Source organism: Homo sapiens, chromosome Y (assembly GCF_000001405.40).
Source record: "Homo sapiens chromosome Y, GRCh38.p14 Primary Assembly".
Taxonomy (NCBI): domain Eukaryota; kingdom Metazoa; phylum Chordata; class Mammalia; order Primates; family Hominidae; genus Homo; species Homo sapiens.
In genome coordinates, this window is record NC_000024.10 from 18867382 (window position 1) to 18888245 (window position 20864).

Sequence of the window (20864 nt, forward strand, 5' to 3'; positions counted from 1 at the left end):
TTTAATAGAGACAGGGTTTCACCACATTGGCCAGGCTGGTCTCAATCTTTTGACCAAAATGATCCACCAGACTCACCTCATGAGTTGCTGAGATTACAGGCGCAATCCACTGTGCACGGCTTGCATGTTTTAGTGATTCATACTAGGTCAGTATTATAAAACTATGCTTTGTCCTTGTAAGGGGAGGCTTAAATTGGGAAGATTTATAAAATTAAAATTTCTGGATTAAACTCTGCTAACCTGCCTCTAGGTGGTATCAAGACATTTTTTGCCCTCTACCTGCTGATTGGGTTTGGCCAGTGGGGACACCAGCCTACGCATACAGTGGCACTGGACTTGCTGCTGTGTCTCAAGGCCAAGTGACGTCATAGTTCCTGTGATGACATCTTTCAAGTTCTCTGCACCATCCGCCTCTCTCCATTGCTGAGAATTTCTCCCTCCTTTAAATCTCACTCCCAAGGAGTGCTAAGAGTGTCATCCTGCTACTATCCCCGGGAACTCTGCCATCTATTGTGAGTACCTTGAATAAGTCACTCTTTATTAAAAAGTTCTTAGATGACTTTGATTGTGGGGCCCATCTAATTTCTGCCTGGATCCCAACTGCTGCTGGCGAATGCACAGATTACATTGAATCTCGTGTCTGTCATCAAAAGGTAGACCAGATAGCTCCTTCTGTGCATGGTAGAGGTGAGAAAGAGGTTTTCAGATTAATTTGAGAATGTGAGTTCTTTTTTTCTCCACCATTGTGCATTCCACGAGCAATGAATGAATTCCTGTTTTCCCTCCAGCAAATCATTTGTCATGTTTTAAAAATGGTTTAGCCGTTCCAACAAATATAAATGGGCCATGCTATCTCATTGTTGTAATTTTCAGTCCCTTAAAGATATATGAGTTTGAGCAACTTTTTGTTTGCTTTCTGTCGGTGTATTTTCATTGGTGTGTTCAGCTCTTTACTCATTGTTAATTGGGTAGTATATCTTAATTTTGAGTTTCAAGATCGGTGTATTTTCAGTGCAAGTTCTTGCTTAGATCTGTATTTTGCAGATATTTCTTTTCAGTCTTTTGCTTATCTTTCTATTTCCTGAATAAGATTTTACTCAGAGTACAAACTATTAATATAAGAAAACTAATATTATTAATTATTTTTACCATTACTGATCAGCTTTGGTGTCATTTGTTAAAACTTATGACCAAACCTGAGGTCACATAAATTTCTTTCTGTACTTTCTTCTAGAATTTGCATAGTTTTACATTTCCAGTTAATGGCTCCTTCACCATTAAAAAAAAAAAAAGAAAAAAACAGGAAAGGGGGAATTGCTGGCAAGACGTCTGAAGAAAAAGAGCTCCAGACTGCAGCTCCCAGGGAGATTGATGAAGAAAGTGAGTGATTCCTGCATTTCCACCTGAGGTACACTGTTCATCTGATAGGGACTGGTTGAATGGTGGCTGCAGCCCATGGAGTGTGAGCTGAAGCAGGGTAGGTCATCACCTCTCCCGGGAAGCCTAATGGGTCGGGAAATTTTCTCATTTACACAGGAGAAGCTGTGAGGGAGTTAGCCTGAGGAACCATGCACCCTGTGCCTAAAATGTGCTTCTCCCATGGTCTTGAAAACCTGCAGACCAGGAGATTGCGTTTGGTAACTGCACCATGAGGGCCGTGGGTTTCAAGCACAAAAATGGGGTTGTTAGAAAAAACAATGAACTAATTGTAGGAGTGTTTTGTTGTTGTTGTTGTTGTTGTTTTTATTACCCCAGTGGTGCCTGGAATGCTAAGGAGACAGGACTGTTCACTCCCCTGAAAAGGAGTGCGGAGGCCAAGGAGCCAAGTGATCTGGCTTAGCAGGTGCCATCCCCGATGGTGGCAATCCAACTATGGTTCACCAGATTGAAATTCTCGCTGCCAGCACAGCAGCAGTCTGAGATCTACCTGGGACACTGGAGCTTGGTGGGGGGATGGGCATCTTCCGTTGCTGAGGCTTGAGTAGGCTGCTTTACCTCATGGTGTAAACAAAGCCTCAGAGAAGTTTGAACTGCAGCTCAGCAAGGCTGATGTGGCCAGACTGCCAGATTTCTTCTCTCCGGGTAGGGTATTTTCGAAACAAATGATAGCAGCCCCAGTCAGGGGCTTACAAATAAAAACCCCATCTCCCTGGGACAGAGCACCTGGGGGAAAAGGAAGCCATGGATGCAGCTTCAGCAAACTTCAACATCCCCGCCTGATGGCTCTGAAGGAGCAGCACACCTCCCATTACAGTGCACTGGCTCTGCTAATGGTCAGAGTGCCTTCTCAAGTGGATCCCTGACCTCTGTGTATCCTGACTGGGAGACACCTCCTGGCAGGGGCCGACAGACACCTTGTATTGGAGAGCACTGGCTAGCATCTGACAGATGCCCCTTGAGGATATAGCTTCAGAGAAAGAATAGCCAGCAATCAATGAGACAGAAAATTAACAAGGATAGTCAGGACTTGAACTCAGCTGTGGACTAAGTAAACCTAATAGACATCTACAGAACTATCCACCCCCAAATCAACAGAATATACATTCTTCTGAGTTCCACATAACATGTATTCAAAAACTGACCACATAATTGGAAGGAAAACACTCCTCAGCAAATGCAAAAGAATGGAAATTATAGCAAAGAGCCTCCCAGACCACAGTGCAATGAAATGAGAACCCAGGATTCAGAAACTCACACAAACCTGCACAACTACATAGAAACTGAACATTTAGGAGCAGGCTGTAAATCATTGCTGGGTAAATAATGAAATAAGGTAGAAATAAAGTTGTTCTTTGAAACCAATGAACCTTTACTGTTAACCACCCCTTTACTCTATGCTTCTGTAAGTTTGACTGCTTTTATTTCTAGGTATAAATGAGATTATGTAGTATCTGTCTTTGTGTGCCTGGCTTATTTGACTTAACATAATATTTTCTGGGTCCATCTATGTTGCTGCAAAAATCGGATTTCATTCTTTTTGGGGCTGAGTAGTATGCCATTGCAGATGCATAACATAATTTCTTTATTAATTCATCCGTTTATGGACACTTAGGTGGATTCCGTATCTTGGCTATTATGAATAGTGCTGCAATAAACATGGGATTGTACCTAGGTATTTTTCAAAGAGTAAAATTTCAATTAAGGCTATTTATCAAATATTAAAACTGAGATGATTTAATTGCTTAACTAAAAATTGGATGGGTTTCTGGAAAGATGGTAGTGGTAGTAACTGCATAGTGTTTATCTATTGCCAAATTCCCACCCAAAAACAGACAGAGCAACTAGAAATCAAACCCCCTAATTCATGGACAATACGGCCAGCAAACTAGATGCCAGAGTATCCCAGAACCACAAACACATTGGAGTCATTCTATGCCACCAGCAGCCCCTTTGTATGAAGTCAGCTGTCAGCTGTCTCTGTGAAAAAATTTAGGTGGTGCTTTAGTTCTTTAAGAATTTAAAAATCACATACATATCAAAATATGATTTTTATATTAAGGGATGAAGAGGAAGAGTTGGTATATGAAATGGGTGCTTGACATTTCTATAATTGTTGTGTCTTAAAGCTTGTGCTGGTTGCTGGGGCACTTCAAGATCCATTCTGATCATAAAATATCTGGGATGATGCTGTTTTACATCTCTTTGATGCTTTTCATACTACACCCAGCTCTGGAAACACCTAGCTTTTAGCCATATAATTATATATAATTATTACATATAAGATAATTAAAAAATATATATTTTTAATTATAATATAATTAAAAAATATATATTTTTAATTATAATATAATTAAAAATATATATATTTATAAATACATATATAAATATATAAATATATAATTATATATAAAATATATAATATATAAAATATATAATTATATAAATATATAATTATATATAAAATATATAATTATATATTTATATAATTATATATAATTATATATTAATTATATATAATTATATATTTTATATATTATATTATATATAAATTTATTATATATAAGATTATATAAAATTATATATAATTATAATTATATACAATATAATATATAATTATAATTATATAAAATATATTTTATATAATTATAATTATATATAATATTGTATATAATAAATAAATATATAATATAATTATATAAAATATATAATTATAATTATATAAAATATATAATATATAAATATATAATTATATAAAATATATAATATATAAATATATAATTATATAAAATATATAATTATATAAAAATATATTTATATAAAATATATAAAATATATATAAAATATATATAGAATATATATAAATACATATAAAACACACACACATATAAAATGTATGTGTGTGCATGTGTGTCTGAGTGTGTGTAAACACACACTATATACATATCATATATTCAGATTTTAACTGTAAGTCTATGCTGCTATACATATAATAAAACATGTGTGATGTGTCCCATTGGGCTAATTTATATAAAGCAATCATAAAATACATAAGCAGAACCAGTCTGTTTTCTTTAAGAGGGATCTCATAGATATATTCCACAGAATAAAGATCTAACACTCTTAAATGATAAATTGCTAGGTACTCCCAAGCAATTAATATAAAATGAAGCAGAATTTATTTTTGACAGTTTTTTTTTGTAGAGTCATTACTGTATCTAAAATAAAAATATTTGCTCTGATGTTGAAGTGTTTATGAAGAACCTCCATGTATCCGTGTACCTTCTTAGTTGCCTACACAATCTTATGACCCATCCCTAACAAATTAGGAGGCATATTAGCTTTTGTATTCTCTATTCTCACTCTGGCAGTGATGCCCATGCGTCACACATCTAAACAACAAAGAGTGATATTCCAACCATTAAGTCAGGGCTTATTCTGAATTCTGGGTGCATCCAATGACAAACTCTACCAGTAATAAGCAGAAGAACCCACACAGACATTTGCTCTGTAACTATGATTTTTTTTTGCATTGGCTTAACTAATTGGAGAGACCAATTTCTGAAACTTTTAAAGAATAATAAGAAAAGTATACTGCGCAGTAAAATTCATTTACCTGACTTACCTATTCGTGAATTAAAGTAACTATTTTAGTGGAAAAACAGTCACCTGATACAACAAATTGTGATGTCAATATTTTTATTAGGTATGGCCTCTGGTGTTTTCTTAGTCCATTTGGGTTGCTATAGCAAAATACCAAAGATACTGGACAGGTAATAAACAACAGACATTTATTGCCCACAGTTCTGGAGACTGGAAGTCCAGTATCAAGATGCGGCAGATTCAATGTCTGGTGGGGACCCACTTTCTCATTCATAGACAGAGCCTTCCCTCTGTGTCCTCACACTGTGGAAGGAGCAAGCGAGCTCTCTGGAATCCTTTTTGTAGGAGTGCTCATCCCATTCATGAGGCTCCACTCTCATGACCTCATCACCTCCCAGAGGCTCCACCTGAAACTACAATTGCATTGAGGTTTAGTATTTCAACATATACATTTCAGAGGACACATTTGGAGTTAGATTTCCACATATGAATTTGGCTAAGGAACAAGAATTCTGCCTATAATTGGTCATAAGCAGACAAGTATTTTAAACTCATCAAAACAAACATAGATATTGGTTTAAACGTATAGATAGGCCAGATGTGGTGGCTCAGGATTATGCCTGTAATCCCAGCACTTCAGGAGGCCCAGGTGGGCAGATCACCTGAGGTCGGGAGTTTGAGACCAGCCTAACCGTCACGGAGAAAACCTGTCTCTACTAAAAATACAACAACAACAACAACAACAAAATTAGCTGAGTGAGGTGGTGCATGCCTGTAATCCCAGCTACTCAGAAGGCTGAGGCAGGATAAGCACTTGAACCCAGGAGGAGAAGGTTGTGGTGAGTCGTGATTGTGCCATTGCACTGCAGTCTGGGCAACAAGAGTGAAACTCCATCTCAAAAATAAACAAACAAACAAACACGTAAAATCTAGATAACTGCTGGATTTCAGAAAGTGCTAGAATCAAGACATGGCAGGAGATCAAAGAATGATTCTCAGCCTCATGCCTATGACTTCCTGATTCTTTACTATTTTTCATCCTTTTTCTAGAAAATGTGACAGAATGTGCACCTCCACAGCTCCTGGAGCAATGAGTTCTGCCTCCCTCCACCACTGGAAAAAGTCATTTGATGCACCCAAGTTGTTCCACTCTTAGTCAGCTGGGTAAGGCTAGAGGAGAGGGTCAGATGTCAGTCATGGAGACTTAAGAACTGCACTTGAAAACAGGGCCGTGTTTCTCAGAGATGAAGGAAATGCAAAATTGCAGAATGCTATTGACTGAATGTTAGTGTCTCCTAAAAATTCATGGTGAAGAGCTAACTGCCAAGGTGATGGTATTTACAGATGGGGCTTTTGGTCAGTGATTAAATTTAGATGAGACTATAAAGATAGAGTTCCCATGATGGGACCAGTGTCCTTATAAACAGCAGAAGAGACCAGAGCTCTCTCTCCCTTTCCCTCTCCACTATGTGATGACAAAACAAGAAGATGACTATCTGAAACCTGGGAAGACAGCCCCTACCAGGGACGAAATCTATCAGAACCTTGATCTTTGACTTGATAGTATCCACCAAAACTAACAAAAATAACTCTCTCTCTCTCCCCCACCCCTTTCTTTTTAGAGATAAGGTCTTGCTCTGCTGCCCAGGCTAGAGTGCAGTGGCATGCATGACCTTGGCTCACTGCAAACTCCAACTCTGGGCCCAAGCCATCCTCTCACTTTAGCCTCCCAAGTAGCTAGAACTACAGGTATGTGTGACTATGCCCAGCTAATTTTTAAAAAATTTATAGAAATGGGGTCTTTCTATGTTACCCAGGCTTGTCCTGTATGCCTAGCCTCAAGCAATCCTGCCTTAGCCTCCCAAAGTGCTGCGATTTATAAGCATAAGCCACTATGCCCAGCTAAACCTCTTTTGGAAGAAGCCCAGTCTATGGCATTTTGTTCAAGCACCCTCAGCACTCTGAGACATAAATGAGGCAGACACCCTTTCCTGCTAAACTGAACCTATCCCATTGCCTCCTGCAAGTCATAAGAGAAGGGTATGTGTTGGGCATTTCCATATATGCTCCAGAGGAATTTGCTAATGATAACCCTGTCATAGGTGCAAATAATCTGTCTCCTGTTCCTCTGTTTGACTTCAAACTTCCTCCACACATTAACTTCTTTGTATTTCCTAGAGGTGCTGGTGATATTGACTCCTATTTCACTCAAATAGGATTTTCAGTTAAAGAATAGATATCTTCCTTATCATCACTGTGATGGTCAGCTTTATGTGCCCATGAGGCTAGGCTACTGGGTCTAGCCTTATAATTAAATATAAATTTAGAGGTTGACATGAAGTCATTTGCTAGATGTGATGAAGCCCCTTGTTTGTTGATGTAAAGTAATGGAGATTATTCTATGTGATCTTAGTGGGTCTGACTCTGTTAGCAAAAGGCATTAAGAATAGAGGTGCAGCTTCCCTGGCTGGAGAAGATTCTGCTCATGGACAGGAGCTTCCACTCACTTCTGAGAATTCCAGCTAGCGTTTCTTGCCTTATAGATTTCAGGAATGCCTCATCAGCTCCATGATCACATAGCCAATTCCTATGTCTTCTTTTCTATCTCCCATTGCCCTTGCTGGATTACCTGAACTGACACATTCACGTTTTCGTAAAATTTACTGCGAAAGTCTTACCGTCTTGCAGCTTCCTTGCAAAACTGTAACTTCCCCAAAACCACAACCTTGCAGCTCCATTTTTTTAAAGTAAATGTTCCTTTTTCATACTTTGTTCTTGTGGGAGGATACATTGAGATGTGAAACATTGTGTTTCAAAATGAATGGGGGATACGATTTGACTATGTCCCCAGCCAAAACTCATTTTGAATTGTAGCTGCCATAATCCCTACCTGTTGTAGGAGGGACCCAGTAGTATATAACTAAATCATGGGGGAGATTTCCCATTCTTGTGGTAGTGAATAAGTCACAAAATATCTGATGGTTTGATAAGGGGTTCCCCTTTCTTTTGGCTCTCTTTCTGTCTTGCCTGCCACCATGTAAAACGTGCCTTTGGTCCTTCTTTGCCTCCTGCCATGATTGTAAGGTGTCCCTAGCCATGTGAAACTGTGAGTCCATTAAACTTGTATTTATTTTTTTGTTTTTTGTTTTTTGAGACAGAGTCTAGCTCTGTCACCCAGGCTGGAGGGCAGTTGCGTGATCTCGGCTCACTGAAAGCTCCACCTCCCTGGTTCACACCATTCTCCTGCCTCAGCCTCCCAAGTAGCCAGGACTACAGGTGCCTACCACTGCGCCCAGCTAATTTGTTGTATTTTTGGTAGAGATGGGGTTTCACCATGTTAGCCAGGATGGTCTCGATCTCCTGACCTCATGATCCACCCGCCTCAACCTCCCAAAGTCCTGGGATTACAGGTGTGAGCCACCACACCCAGCCACCTCTTTTTCTTTAAAAATTACCTAGTATGTCCTTACAGCAGCAAGAGAATAGACTAATACAAGGGGAAATCCTGAAAATAATGAAATTTCAATGGACTTATTCACAACTCATGATGCCCAGTGGTATCATTCAAAGACCTAACAAGGTGGGTTCTGGACAGATGCTGGAAACAGGATCTTAGCTTTTATATGTGAGATCTGAGATTGGATATAAAAGACCTCAGAGGCAAGTGACAGGCTAGGCCTTAAGTTAGTCATGAGTACACAGCTATTCATTTATCATTCTGCATTCTGCTGTGCATTGCAGCAGATTGAATGCTAGCTCCCAAAAAGTATGCCTGTGTCCTAACACTGGCAACCTGTAAATAAAATTTGATTTAGAATAAGGGTGTTTGCAGATATAATTATATAAATAATCTTGCAATAAGATTATCCTGAATTAATGTAGACCCTAACTCCAGTGACTGATGTCCTTATAAGAGACAGCAGAGGAGACACACACAGACGAGAAGGCCATGTGAGATGGAGACAGAGAATGGAGTGGTGTGTCCACAAGCGCAGGGACTCCTGGAGCTACTAGGAGCAGGGAGAGGGGTGAAGGATATTCCCCTAGTGTCTTCAGAGAATGGATGTCTCTGAGTCACCTTGATCTCAGACTTCTGGTCTTCAGGACTGGGAGAAAATTTATTTCTGTTGTTTCAAGCTCCTGGTTTGTTGTACTTTTCTTATTACAGTCATATACACATAGCTTATGTTCTTTTACCTCCACATAGAGTTAAAAAAGAAGAAACATTAAGCCTGAAGTTACAACTACATGATAATTTCTCACTGGTTTTCCAAGTGGTACACTCAAGAAACCCAGGATGTTTCTGGGAGAACCCTCCACAACTTTCTTCATTCTAACTTGATTCTCCTCCCTGTCTACTATGTTAAATGCATTTTCTGAAGGCAAGATGAAGATGGGTCCTTTTCTGAGGCCTCTCCAGATCTTCTATTAGAAAAAATAATTGTAATTGGACCAGAGTTTCTTGGGACTTTTCATGTGTCTAAGTTTCAACTAATTTTGAATAAACATTGCAATTTATAATTTTTAATTGAATGTGGCAGTGTCCTCTACTTAGCTCCAAAGTTTCATCTGTGACTTTAGAATATCACTTAACCCTGATGACCCTTGATGTCTTCATCTGTAAAATGCACTTCACATGAACTCACCTCATTTGATTTGGAGATTTAAAGAGTAGCTGTAGGGCATGTTGTACAACTTTTAGAAACTTTCCGAAATGTTAGCTGCATTTCATTATTTAACCCTCCACTTCCATCTTCCAATCATCTCTTCGGAACATGCTGTGGCTGTCAAAAAAAAAATCTTTCTAAACTGTGGTTTACCATTATTACCATGGGGTAATAAATACTCAACAGAAATTTCTAGCCAGTACCAATTCCCAACATGTTCTTTCCTGTGAACAAATATCCTGAAATGTCATTGGGAAGAACAAAATTCACTTTATCTTAACCTGATAAGCATATATGTCTTTAGCAATGGGAGTTATTTTCTTTTCTTTTTCTTTTACTTTTTTTTTTCTTTTCAGACAAGATCTTGCTGTTTCACCCAGTCTGCAGTACAGTGGCATGATCATGGCTCACTGCAAGCCTGCATCTCCTGGGCTCAAGAGATCCTCCCATCCCAGCCTCCCAAGTCACTGGGACTATAGGTGAACACCACCATGACCAACTAATTTTTGTATTTTTTTGTAATGGTGGGAGTTTGCCATGTTTCCCAGGCTGGTCTTGAACTCTTGAGCTCAAGTGATCTGCCTACCTCAGCCTCCCAAAGTGCTGGGATTACAGGGTGTGAGCTACTGCACCTGGCCAGAGTTATTCTTGAATTGTGAACCATAGTAACAAACAGAAAATAATCTTAAATGTCAATAATTTTCAGTGATATTTCTGGAATTCATGGATCTTTCTGTTAGAACTGCATGCCTTATTCTGTCTAAAGCAATAAAGTTCTTTAAATCTAAACATTTTCATAAACACTCGTGGGAAGTTAGAGATGCGATAATTCCTAAAAAGCCTGCATGGCAAAGATGCACACAATGTCAATATGGAACAGACATAGAACATAATTGAACCAATCCTATTAGTACTCAATTTAGCAAGGTTGCATTTTTTAGAACTAAATTTTTCATAGTTGCAGGCAGAGTGATGAAAGATGTTGGCAGACAGCCTCTTCATATAGACATCAGGAAGTGAATAAACCAGCATGAATTGATACATAATTTAAGAGAAGGTAAAGGACATAGTCAGCATGCAACAAAATGCTGAAACCAAAAAACCTCCTGCACATGCCTGGAGCAAGAAGGGTTGCTTTTGACTCTTTCTCCATCTCAGCACTGATAGGTAGATAATCCCAAGGCCTCCTGGTGTTATATCTGAACAACAGAGTTACATGCTTTCTTGCAAAGTGTCAGACTATCCACGAGTTATTTTACATTACTCAAACAAAAGTCTATGGTAACACAACACTTCTAAACTGTTAAGAAGAGGGCTTTAACCACATCTTCTAGGTTGATGAATTAAATGGAGTAGGGAGAAGATAAGAGATTTTCAACTATGCTTTTAAAAAAATTGCTGTAGATACCTTTTTAAACTTTATGCAGTCTGAATTTTGTCAATATCTGACAAAAATGAACTTGAGAGCAAAAATTTTCATGCACACAATAAATAAGCAAAATAAAAAATCCTCTAAGCCCAACTTTCTCATTACATAGGGAAATGTGTCTCTTCGTTAGAAATCTCCATCTTAGAAAGCTGAGCTCTGCACTGCCCTACCATAAGGGATACTTACTGTGGTTATCCAAGTCTCAGAACTTGAGGCTTCTTACCATTTATTGTCTGTTTGCAGCCCAAGATAAACTTTTCTTCCCCAGAGACAATGTTATGTGCTGAGGGACTACAGGTCAGGCAGAGTTCCTAGCAAATCATCTGCTTTTTTTCCTTTCTATTTTATCTTCATTTATTTCTATTATACAAAGTATACCACTCTGACAGTCTACTGTATGCATGTGTCATCCCCTAAGCTGTGCTGGTTGAATCAAAAGGATAAAATTGACTTATTATTTAAGGGAAAAAAAATGCATGAATTGATGAAACACATGGATTGAATTGATGAAACAAATGCCATTGTTTGGCATTCTACACTTCGCAGACCTTGGCATATTTCTTGGTAGGTAGCTGGACCTTAAATACTCAACCAGACTTTTTGGAAAACAAAGTTCACAGAATATATACCTGTTCTGCTCCAGTATTTTCTCTTTGGAGAACAGCATTTCTATAGTTTTTAAACATAGAACAACAATTTTTAATTTTTCTAGCTTCCAAAAGAGGAAACAGAGCAAACTCTGGCTGCAGAAGACCCAAGTATAGGCAGCCAATATGGAAAGAATTTTGGCAATCGTTGATAGTTCATTTGTTAATGATTTCCTTTGCTCTTGCAAATCTGAGTGTTGTCTAAGGTAATTTTAAAATGCACAAAATTGTGATTACACTATGCGAAACCAAACACCATTGTGTATTAGAATTCAACTTTGTGGCAGACGAGTCATTCAATGTATGCCAGAACAAAATTCACATCGCCAAGGGAGAGCGAGAAGAAGGAAAGAAGAAGGGAGGGTGGGAAAAAGAAAGGAAAGAAGGAAGGTGGGAGAGAGGAAGAAAGGAAACAAAGACAAAAAATTGTTTAAATAGACAAAGTAATATCCAGCAGGAGTGAAGTAATCTTAGGTTTGATATTGAAAATTAAAATTCAAGTGCTATGGCAGCATCCTAGCTAGTAGAGATGCCCCCAAATAGAGGAAGAGTCTGAAATTAATAGATTTCTGTGTGCATTCAACCCCACTTAGGTATGTGATCATGACTGGCTTCTATTGAGGATGGCTGTATATCTTCACTTTTTCAGCATATCTGGGGGGATATCCTAAAAAATAAGAAGATACAGAAATAAGAAGATCCATAGTAAAAATAGCACATCCTTGATTTTTGCTTTTATTTTATTTCTCACCTTGCTACACATGTTCATCATCATTTTTTTAGAGCCCAGTCTGTATATTGTGAAGTCTTCCTTTCTCATTTCTAAATTTGTATCTCTCATCTCAGCTTGAGAGGTGACAGTGTGCTGGCAGCCCTCGCAGCCCTTGATGGCTCTCCGCGCCTCCTTGGCCGCGCTTGAGTCCTTCAGCCCGCCGCTGCCCTGTGGGAGCCCCTTTCTAGGCTGGCCATGGCGGGAGCCAGCTCCCTCAGCTTCCTGGGAGGTGTGGAGGGAGAGGCGTGGGCGGGAACCCGGGCTGCCGCATGGCGCTTGCGGGCCAGCAGGAGTTCTGGGTGGGCGTGGGCTCTGCTGGCCCTGCCCTGGCAGCGTCAGGCCCACCCGCAAGCCCCAGGCAGTGAGGGGCTTAGCACCTGGGCCAGCAGCTGCTGTGCTCGATTTCTCGTGGGGCCTTAAGCTGCCTCCCGGCAGGGCAGAGCTTGGGACCTGCAGCCTCCCATGCCTGAGCCTCCTTCCACCCCAACGTGGGCTCCTGCATGGCCCTAGCCTCCCTGATGAGCCCTCCCCCTGCTCCAGGGCCACGGGTCGCATAGACTGCCCAAGGGCTGAGGAGTGCCTAGGAACCGCAGAGGGACTGGCAGGCAGCTCCATCTGCTGATGGGTGCAGGATCCAATGGGTGAAGCCAGCTGGGCTCCTGAGTCTAGTGGGGACTTGGAGAATCTTTATGTCTAGCTAAGGGATTATAAATACACCAATCAGCCCTCTGTAGCTAACTCAAGGTTTGTAAACACACCAATCAGAACCCTGTGGCTAGCTCAGGGTTTGTGAATGCACCAATCAGCACTCTGTATCTAGCTTAAGGTTTGTAAATGCACCAATCAGCACTCTGTGTCTAGCTCAAGGGTTTGTAAACACACCAATTGACACTCTGTATCTGGCTAATCTAGTGGGGAGGTGGGGAACTTTTGTGTCTATCTCAGGGATTGTAAAGGCACCAATCAGCACCCTGTCAAAATAGACCAATCAGCTCTCTGTAAAACAGACCAATTGGCTCTCTGTAAAATGGACCAATCAGCAGGATGTGGGTGGGGCCAGATAAGAATAAAATCAGGCTGCGGGAGCCAGCAGTGGCAACCTGCTCAGGTGTTCTTCCACACTGTGGAAGCTTTGTTCTTTTGCTTTTTGCATTAAATCCTGCTGCTGCTCACTCTTTGGGTCCACATCGCCTTTATGAGCTGTAGCACTCACTGCGAAGGTCTGCAGCTTCACTCCTGAAGCCAGTGAGACTACAAACCCACCGGGAGGAATGAACAACTCCAGATGTGCCACCTTAAGAGCTGTAACACTCACCACGAAGGTCTGCAGCTTCATTCCTGAGCCAGCGAGACCAGGAACCCACTAGAAGGAAGAAACTCCGAACACATCCAAACATCAGAAGGAACAAACTCTAGACATACCACCTTTAAGAACTGTAACACTCAATCGCGAGGGTCCGTGGCCTCATTCTTGAAGTCGGTGAGACCAAGAACCCACCAGTTCCTCACACAAGCTCACCACTTTTGATGTCCAAAACACTTTGTTATGAAACTTTAATTTTCAACTTGCTTACATTGGTAAAACAAACTAATGAATTCTTGTTGAAATGAGTTGGTTACTTATATAGGAATTTTTATTAGGAGGTTTTATAACAATACCTACAAATCACTGCTATTATGCGTTATTTACTGAGGTCAGAAATGACCCTATAATCTGGAAGTGGATCTTCTAACAATCCATTCCAGTGATGCTGAGTGTCATGTTTTACTTCTAGGTAATACGTCTCATTGGAATACATTTTGTTTGCTCTATGAATATAAAATGTGGGGCTCTTGTGCAAGAGAATGAACTTTTGAACTTCACAGACCAAGTTTAATTCTGATTCTGTAGATGGTAACACTGTTAACAGTAATTCTCTGAGCTTCAGTTGCTCCATCTGTAAGGAAGGGGATCATGCTAGGCATCTGATAGAAATCATGTGAAAGTGGCAAGGCACGGTGGCTGATGCCTGTAATCCCAGCCCTTTGGGAGGCCAATACAGGCAGATCACCTGAGGTTAGGGGTTGGAGACCAATCTGGCCAAAATGGTGAAAACCTCTCTCTACAAAAAATAAAAAAAATTAGCTGGGTGTGGTGACACACACCTGTATTTCCAGCTAACTGGGATGCTAAGGCAGGAGAATTGCTGAACCCTGGATGTGGAGGATGTAGTGAGCTGAGACTGTGCCATGGAACTCCAACCCGGGTGACAGAGTGAGACTCTGTATAAAAAAAAAAAAAATGTCAATGTCTCATTTTCCTGCCGCCTCTAGAGAGCTAGCTATCATCATTTGGCATATGTATAAATACCTACAGACAACATGTGGACAATTGGATGCGTTTCGCTGATAATATTATATGGTACTTATATAGTATATAATGAAGGTTTGGTGTGCATCACAGTACATAGAGATCAGTAATATAATTCTGTGTGTCTTTCTTTATAAATGATCATACCTATACAATGGCTTGTTTAGCCATCTCCCTACTAACGGATTTGAGGTTGTCTATAATATTTTGTTTTTATACACAAAGCCCTAATATAAGGGTAGATTTTTCTCTGGTTATTTGCAATAGTCAATTGTCTATGGTGTTAATTAACCTTTTAATTTTTTAAAAAAATTCAATTACTCCTTACTGGTAAATAGAAAAGCAATTGACTATTCACATTAACTTTGTATTCTGTGATTTTCCTATAATCAGTTATTCCAGGCGTTTTTGCTGTCATTGTTAATTCTTTGGGATTTTCCATATAGATGATCATATTATCTACAAAGAAAAAGACAATTTTATATCTTCTTTACTGGTCTATATAATTTTTATTTCCTTTTCTTGTCTTGTTACATAACCTAGAAACTCCATCACACTTTGAACTATGAATAGTGAGAGGAGACATCTGTGTCTTTTTCTTGGTCTGAGGGAGAAAATATTCAATTTCTCCTGATTAAGCAGGATATTAGCATTAAGATGTGTGGAGCTATTCTTCATAAAATCAAGGCATTGAGGACTCTACTTCTAACTTGCTCATAGTTTTTGTTTTCCATGAATTGGTGTTAAATTTTATCAAATGCTTTTTCTGGCTCAGTTTGTATGATCTGATGACTTTTCTTCTTTAACTTGCTGCTTACATTAATTGATTTGTAAATGTGAACCAGGCTTGCATAGACAGGATACACCTCACTTTGTCATTGTGTATATATAATTTCACATATGGTAGAAATCTATTTGATAATATTTATGGTAATAATTTTTGCATCTATGTTTATAAGAGACATTGGCCTGTAGTTTTTCTTTTGTGTAATGTCTTTATCTGTTTATCATGTAGAATTCTATTTTCTATTACTTATGTTAAGAATTTTTGCATTTATGTTTATGAGAGACATTGGCCTGTAGTTTTTCTTTTGTGCAATGTCTTTATCTGGTTTTGGTATTAGGCTCATACTTGCCACATAGCAGGAGACAAAAAGGGTTCCCTTTACTCTTATTTCATGGAAAATATTTAGAAAATTGGGATTGTTTCTTATGAGCTGGATTGCTACCCTGCAGTTTCCATACATTAAAGTTCTGACACAAAGTACCTCAGAACTTGACCTTACTTGAAGATAAAGCCCTTAAAGAAGCCATAAGTTAAAAAGAGGCCATTAGGATGGGGCCCTTATCCTGAATGACTGGTATCCTAATAAACAGACACCAGGTGGTTTGCACATAGAGAAAAGATGATGTGAGGACACAGGGAGAAGACAGCCATTTACAAGAATGGAGAGAGTTCTCAGAAGAAACCAAACCTGTAGACACCTTAATCTTAGACTTCTAGTGTTCAGAATTGTGAAAAAAATAAAATTATGTTATTTAAGCCACACATCTTGTGGTATTTCATATGGCAGCCAAGCAGACTACTGCATGTTTATTCTTTAGAAGTTCTGTAGAATTCTGTAGTTAAATTAGGTGACTCTGGTACATTTTTGGAAAAGACATTAATTAGCAATTCATTTTCTTTATAGCTATAAGCCTATTCAAATTATCTATTTGTCTTTGTATGAGTTCTGACAGTGATGTCTTTCAGGAATTTTGTTCTATTCATTGAAATTATCAAATTTGTGGGCATAAAGTTATTTATAATTTTTTGTTACATTTTCATGTCCATGGGATCATTCATGATAAACCCTCTTTCATTTGTGATATTACCAAAGTGTGCCTTTTCTCTTTTTGCTTGGGTAGTATACATAGAAGTTTTTTATTTATATTGATTTTTTAAAATTACTTCTTTTTTGGTTGCTGATTTTTTCTGTGGGCTGTTTTCAAATTTATTTTTCTCTGCTCTGATTTCTTTCTTTTCTCCTACTTGCTTTGAATTTAAATGTATCTCCTTTTCTGTACTTTACTAAGACAGAAACTTAGATTATTGATTTTAGATTTTTTTTCTAATATATGCGTTTATTGGTTTAAAATTTCATTTGCACTCTGTATGTTTCGGTAAGTTATATTTTTATTTTCATTTAATTCAAATATTTAAAACATTTTCTTCATTACACTTTTTCTTTGGCCCATGTGTTTTTCAAGAGAGTATTATTTTATTTTCGGATATTTTAGGAATCTCCATCTACCTTTGTTATTGATGTCTAGTTTAGTTCTATTGTGGTTTGAGAATATATTTTGTTTTGTTACAGTCTCACCAATGCGCCACAGTGTAGTGGTCTCATTGTTTCAGGTATCATCCAAAATTCTTTATCTTACGGCCAAGAAAATTAAGGCATGTGGACACAAATGGTGAGGCTGGAGTGAAAGTTTAATAAGCAAAAGAAGAAAGCTCTCCACAGTGGAGGGTAGGCCTGAAAGAGGATAGCCAAGTATGAAGCTGAGTCTGGGGTTTTGATGGACTGGGAAGGGGAGGAATGTGCTGACTGGGCTGCAGACTCTATTCGAGAAAGCAGCACTTAGAAAGAGGTATGAGAGCGTAAAGGACCAATTGGAGACAGAGGTGAAGGCTTGGCCCAGAATCTTGTCCTGGGAACAATCAGCAACTGAAGTGATGATTCACCCTATGTAAATGTAGACTTAGCCTACAGCCAGTTACAGAAATGTAAGCATATGTAAAATAGGTGAAAAGTAAGATACTAAGGCCTGCCCAGGAGAGAGAAATTTGTCCAAAAAGGAATGGAATTTGTTCATCTGGGTTCACAAAGTGAACATTTCTATTCAAGGCATGGGCTCTTTCTTATCTGGGGCCTGCAGTTTGATTTTCAGGCTGTTCTTTGTTTGAAGAAATTTTACCAAGAACCTACCCTAACTGCATGTGTGACCAGTTTTTTACTTTCTCCTCTCTTAGTATGATTTCTATTTCTATGAATGTGTTAAGTTGTATTGCCCAGAATGTTTTGTGTATTGGTGAGTATTCTATGTGAGCCTGAGAAGAATGTATATTTTGGTTCTGTTGGATGACACATTCTATATATGCAAGTTAACTCAAGTTAATTGATAGTGCTGTTTAGTTCAACTACAATTTTTCTGATTTTTTTTTGCTGTTTCCTCTATCAGTTACTGACAGACGGGATTTTAAATCTATAACTACAACAGTGGATTAGTCGGTTTCTCCGTTTAGTTCTATCAGTTCTTACCTCATGCAATTTTATACTCCTGTTTTTGGTGAAACATATTTGGAGTTGATATGTTTTCTTTGAAAATTGTTCCCTTTGTCTTTACAGTATTTGCATGTTTATCCTTGATAATTTCCTCATTCTGAAGTCTGATTTGTATGAAATCATTAAGTACTCCAGATTTGTTTTCATTAGTGTTTAGATGGCATACCTGTCCCTCTCTTTATTTTAACATGTCTGTGTTTTTAAATTCAAAATGAGTTTCTTTAGACACGTATAGTGGGTTTTATTTTCCTTTAAATTATAATCACATTATAATCTTAGTCTTTTAATTGATGTACATAAACATGAGTGTTTAAAGTAATATAGTTGAATGAATTTTTAACATGTTGGTAATCATTCAATTTGATATATTTTTTATTTGTTTTTTGCCCATTTTCAGCTTTCTCTGCTTGAGTATTTTTAAAAATTATTTTTATTTTTTGTATGTACATAGATGTATATGTTTCTGGGATATGTGGGATATTTTGAGCAGTTTAAACAATCTTATTTGTCCCTTCTCTTGGCATATATATTAAACTTTAAAACAATGTGGTATTTTCCTGAACATTACTAATATATCCTTTTAGCTAATACAAGTCACCTGTTGAATACTATGATACTGCTTCCTGGACAATGGAACTACCTCTCAAGAGTATTCTTAATTCCACCCTCCCATTACTTATGTAATTACTGCTATGTGTTTATTTTTATTTGCATATATGCTATAGTCTCTTAATACTTATAATACTCTTAATACTCATAATTGCTATTATGATTACTTTAAATTTCTATCTGTTTAGTCATAGGCAGAAGATTGAAACTATACTACTTCCTTACCCCATACACAAAAATCAACTGTAGATGGATTAAAGACTTACATATAAGACCCAAAACTATACAAACTCTGGAAGACAACGTACTCAATACCATCCTAGACATAATAATTGGCAAAGATTTTATGACAAAGATGCCAAAATACATCTCAACAAAAACAAAAGTCGACAACTGGAATCTAATTAAGCTGAAGAGCTTCTGTACAGCAAAAGAATCTATCAACAAAGCAAACAGACAACTTACAGAATGGGAAGAAATTTTTGCAAAATATGCATATGACAAAGGTCTAATATCCAGCAGCTATAAAGAACTTAGACAAATTTACAAGAAAAAAACAAACAACCCCATTAAAAAGTAGACATGAACACATGTTTTTCAAAAGAAGACATACATGTAGCTGGCAAGCATATGAAAAAAAGCTCAGTATCCCTGATGGTTAGAAAAATGCAAAACAAAATGACAATGAGATACTATCTCACACCAGTCAGAATGGCTATTATTAAAAAGTCAAAAAATAACATATGCTGGTCACGTTGCAAAGGAACATTTATACACTGTTGGTGAAACAGTAAATTAATTCAATGACGGTGGAAAGCAGTATGGTGATTCCTCAAAGAGCTAAAAACAGAACTACCATTCCATTTGGCAATCCCATTACAGGGTATATACCCAGAGGAATATAAATCATTCTACCATAAAGATATATGCACACAAATATTCACTGAAGCACTGTAGACAATAGCAAAGACATGGAATCAACCTAAATGCCCACAAATAACAGACTGGATAAAGAAAATGTGGTATATATACACCATGGAATACTATGCAGTCATAAAAACCAATGAGATGTCTTTTGTGGGAATGTGGGTGAAGCTGGAGGTTATTGTCCTTAGAAAACTAACGCAGGAAAAGAAAACCAAGTAACACATTTTCTCACTTATAAGCAGGAGCTAAATGATGAGAACACATGGGCACAAGAAAAGAACAACAGGCCCTGAGGCCTACTTCAAATTGGAGGGTGGGAAGAGGAAGAGGAGCAAAATAAATAACTATAGGTTACTGGACTTAGTACCTGGATGATGAAATCATCAATACAACAAATCCCATGACACAAATTTACCTATATAGCAAACCTACACATGTATCCCTAAACCTAAAATAAAAGCTTATAAAAGAAGACTAGGACTTAATTTTTTAACCATCTTTATTCCATCTCTAACACTCTCCCTTTATTGATGGAGATCCCAGCTACTGCATTATATATTCGGCACCATATTTTTCTCCCTATAGGGCCTCTTTTAACATCTCTTGCAGGGCAAGTCTCTGGCATTGAAATTCCTCAGCTTTGTCTGTCTGAAATATATTTTATTTTGCTTCACTTAAGAAAGATTATTTAACTTGATCTAGAATTTTAAGTAGGTGTGAACTTTTTCCTTTCCATATTTTAAATATTTCACTTTTCTCTCTTTTTGCTTGCATAGTTTCTAATGAGAATTCTGCTGCAATTTATTTCTTATCCTATTTGGGAGAGAGAGAAGGAGAGAGAGAGAGAGAGAGAGAGAACTCTGGCCTATTTTAACGTTCTGTGTCTGCACAATTTGCACTTTGATAATAATTTGTCTAAGTTTTTGTTTATTTGCTTGTTTTGCTTCATTTTGGATATTTGATCCTGTTTGTTATTTTCCGAGCTTCTTGTATCTGTAGTTTGGTATCTGTCATTAATTTTAAAACAATCTCAGTCATTATTGCTTCAAAAATTTTTACTGATTCTGTTCTCTTTTCTCTTTCTGATAAAACAA

General features: G+C 38.0%; 1 long non-coding RNA gene and 1 pseudogene across 5 annotated transcripts in view; one reads left to right on the top strand and one right to left on the bottom strand.

Annotated features, from left to right (window-relative positions):
• MTCYBP2 (MT-CYB pseudogene 2) lies at positions 4721-4891 on the top strand (annotated as a pseudogene).
• Positions 5120-20864, bottom strand: part of TTTY14 (testis expressed transcript, Y-linked 14) — a 205047-nt gene continuing 189302 nt past the window's right edge. For 4 of the 5 annotated variants that reach the window (NR_125735.1, NR_125734.1, NR_158640.1 and 1 more), the window contains 2 exons: positions 9687-9824; positions 5120-5453 (listed from right to left, as the gene is read on the bottom strand). This is a non-coding gene — a long non-coding RNA (testis expressed transcript, Y-linked 14). The remainder of the gene's footprint in view (positions 5454-9686; positions 9825-20864) is intronic. The other variant, NR_125733.1, reaches the window with a different exon arrangement.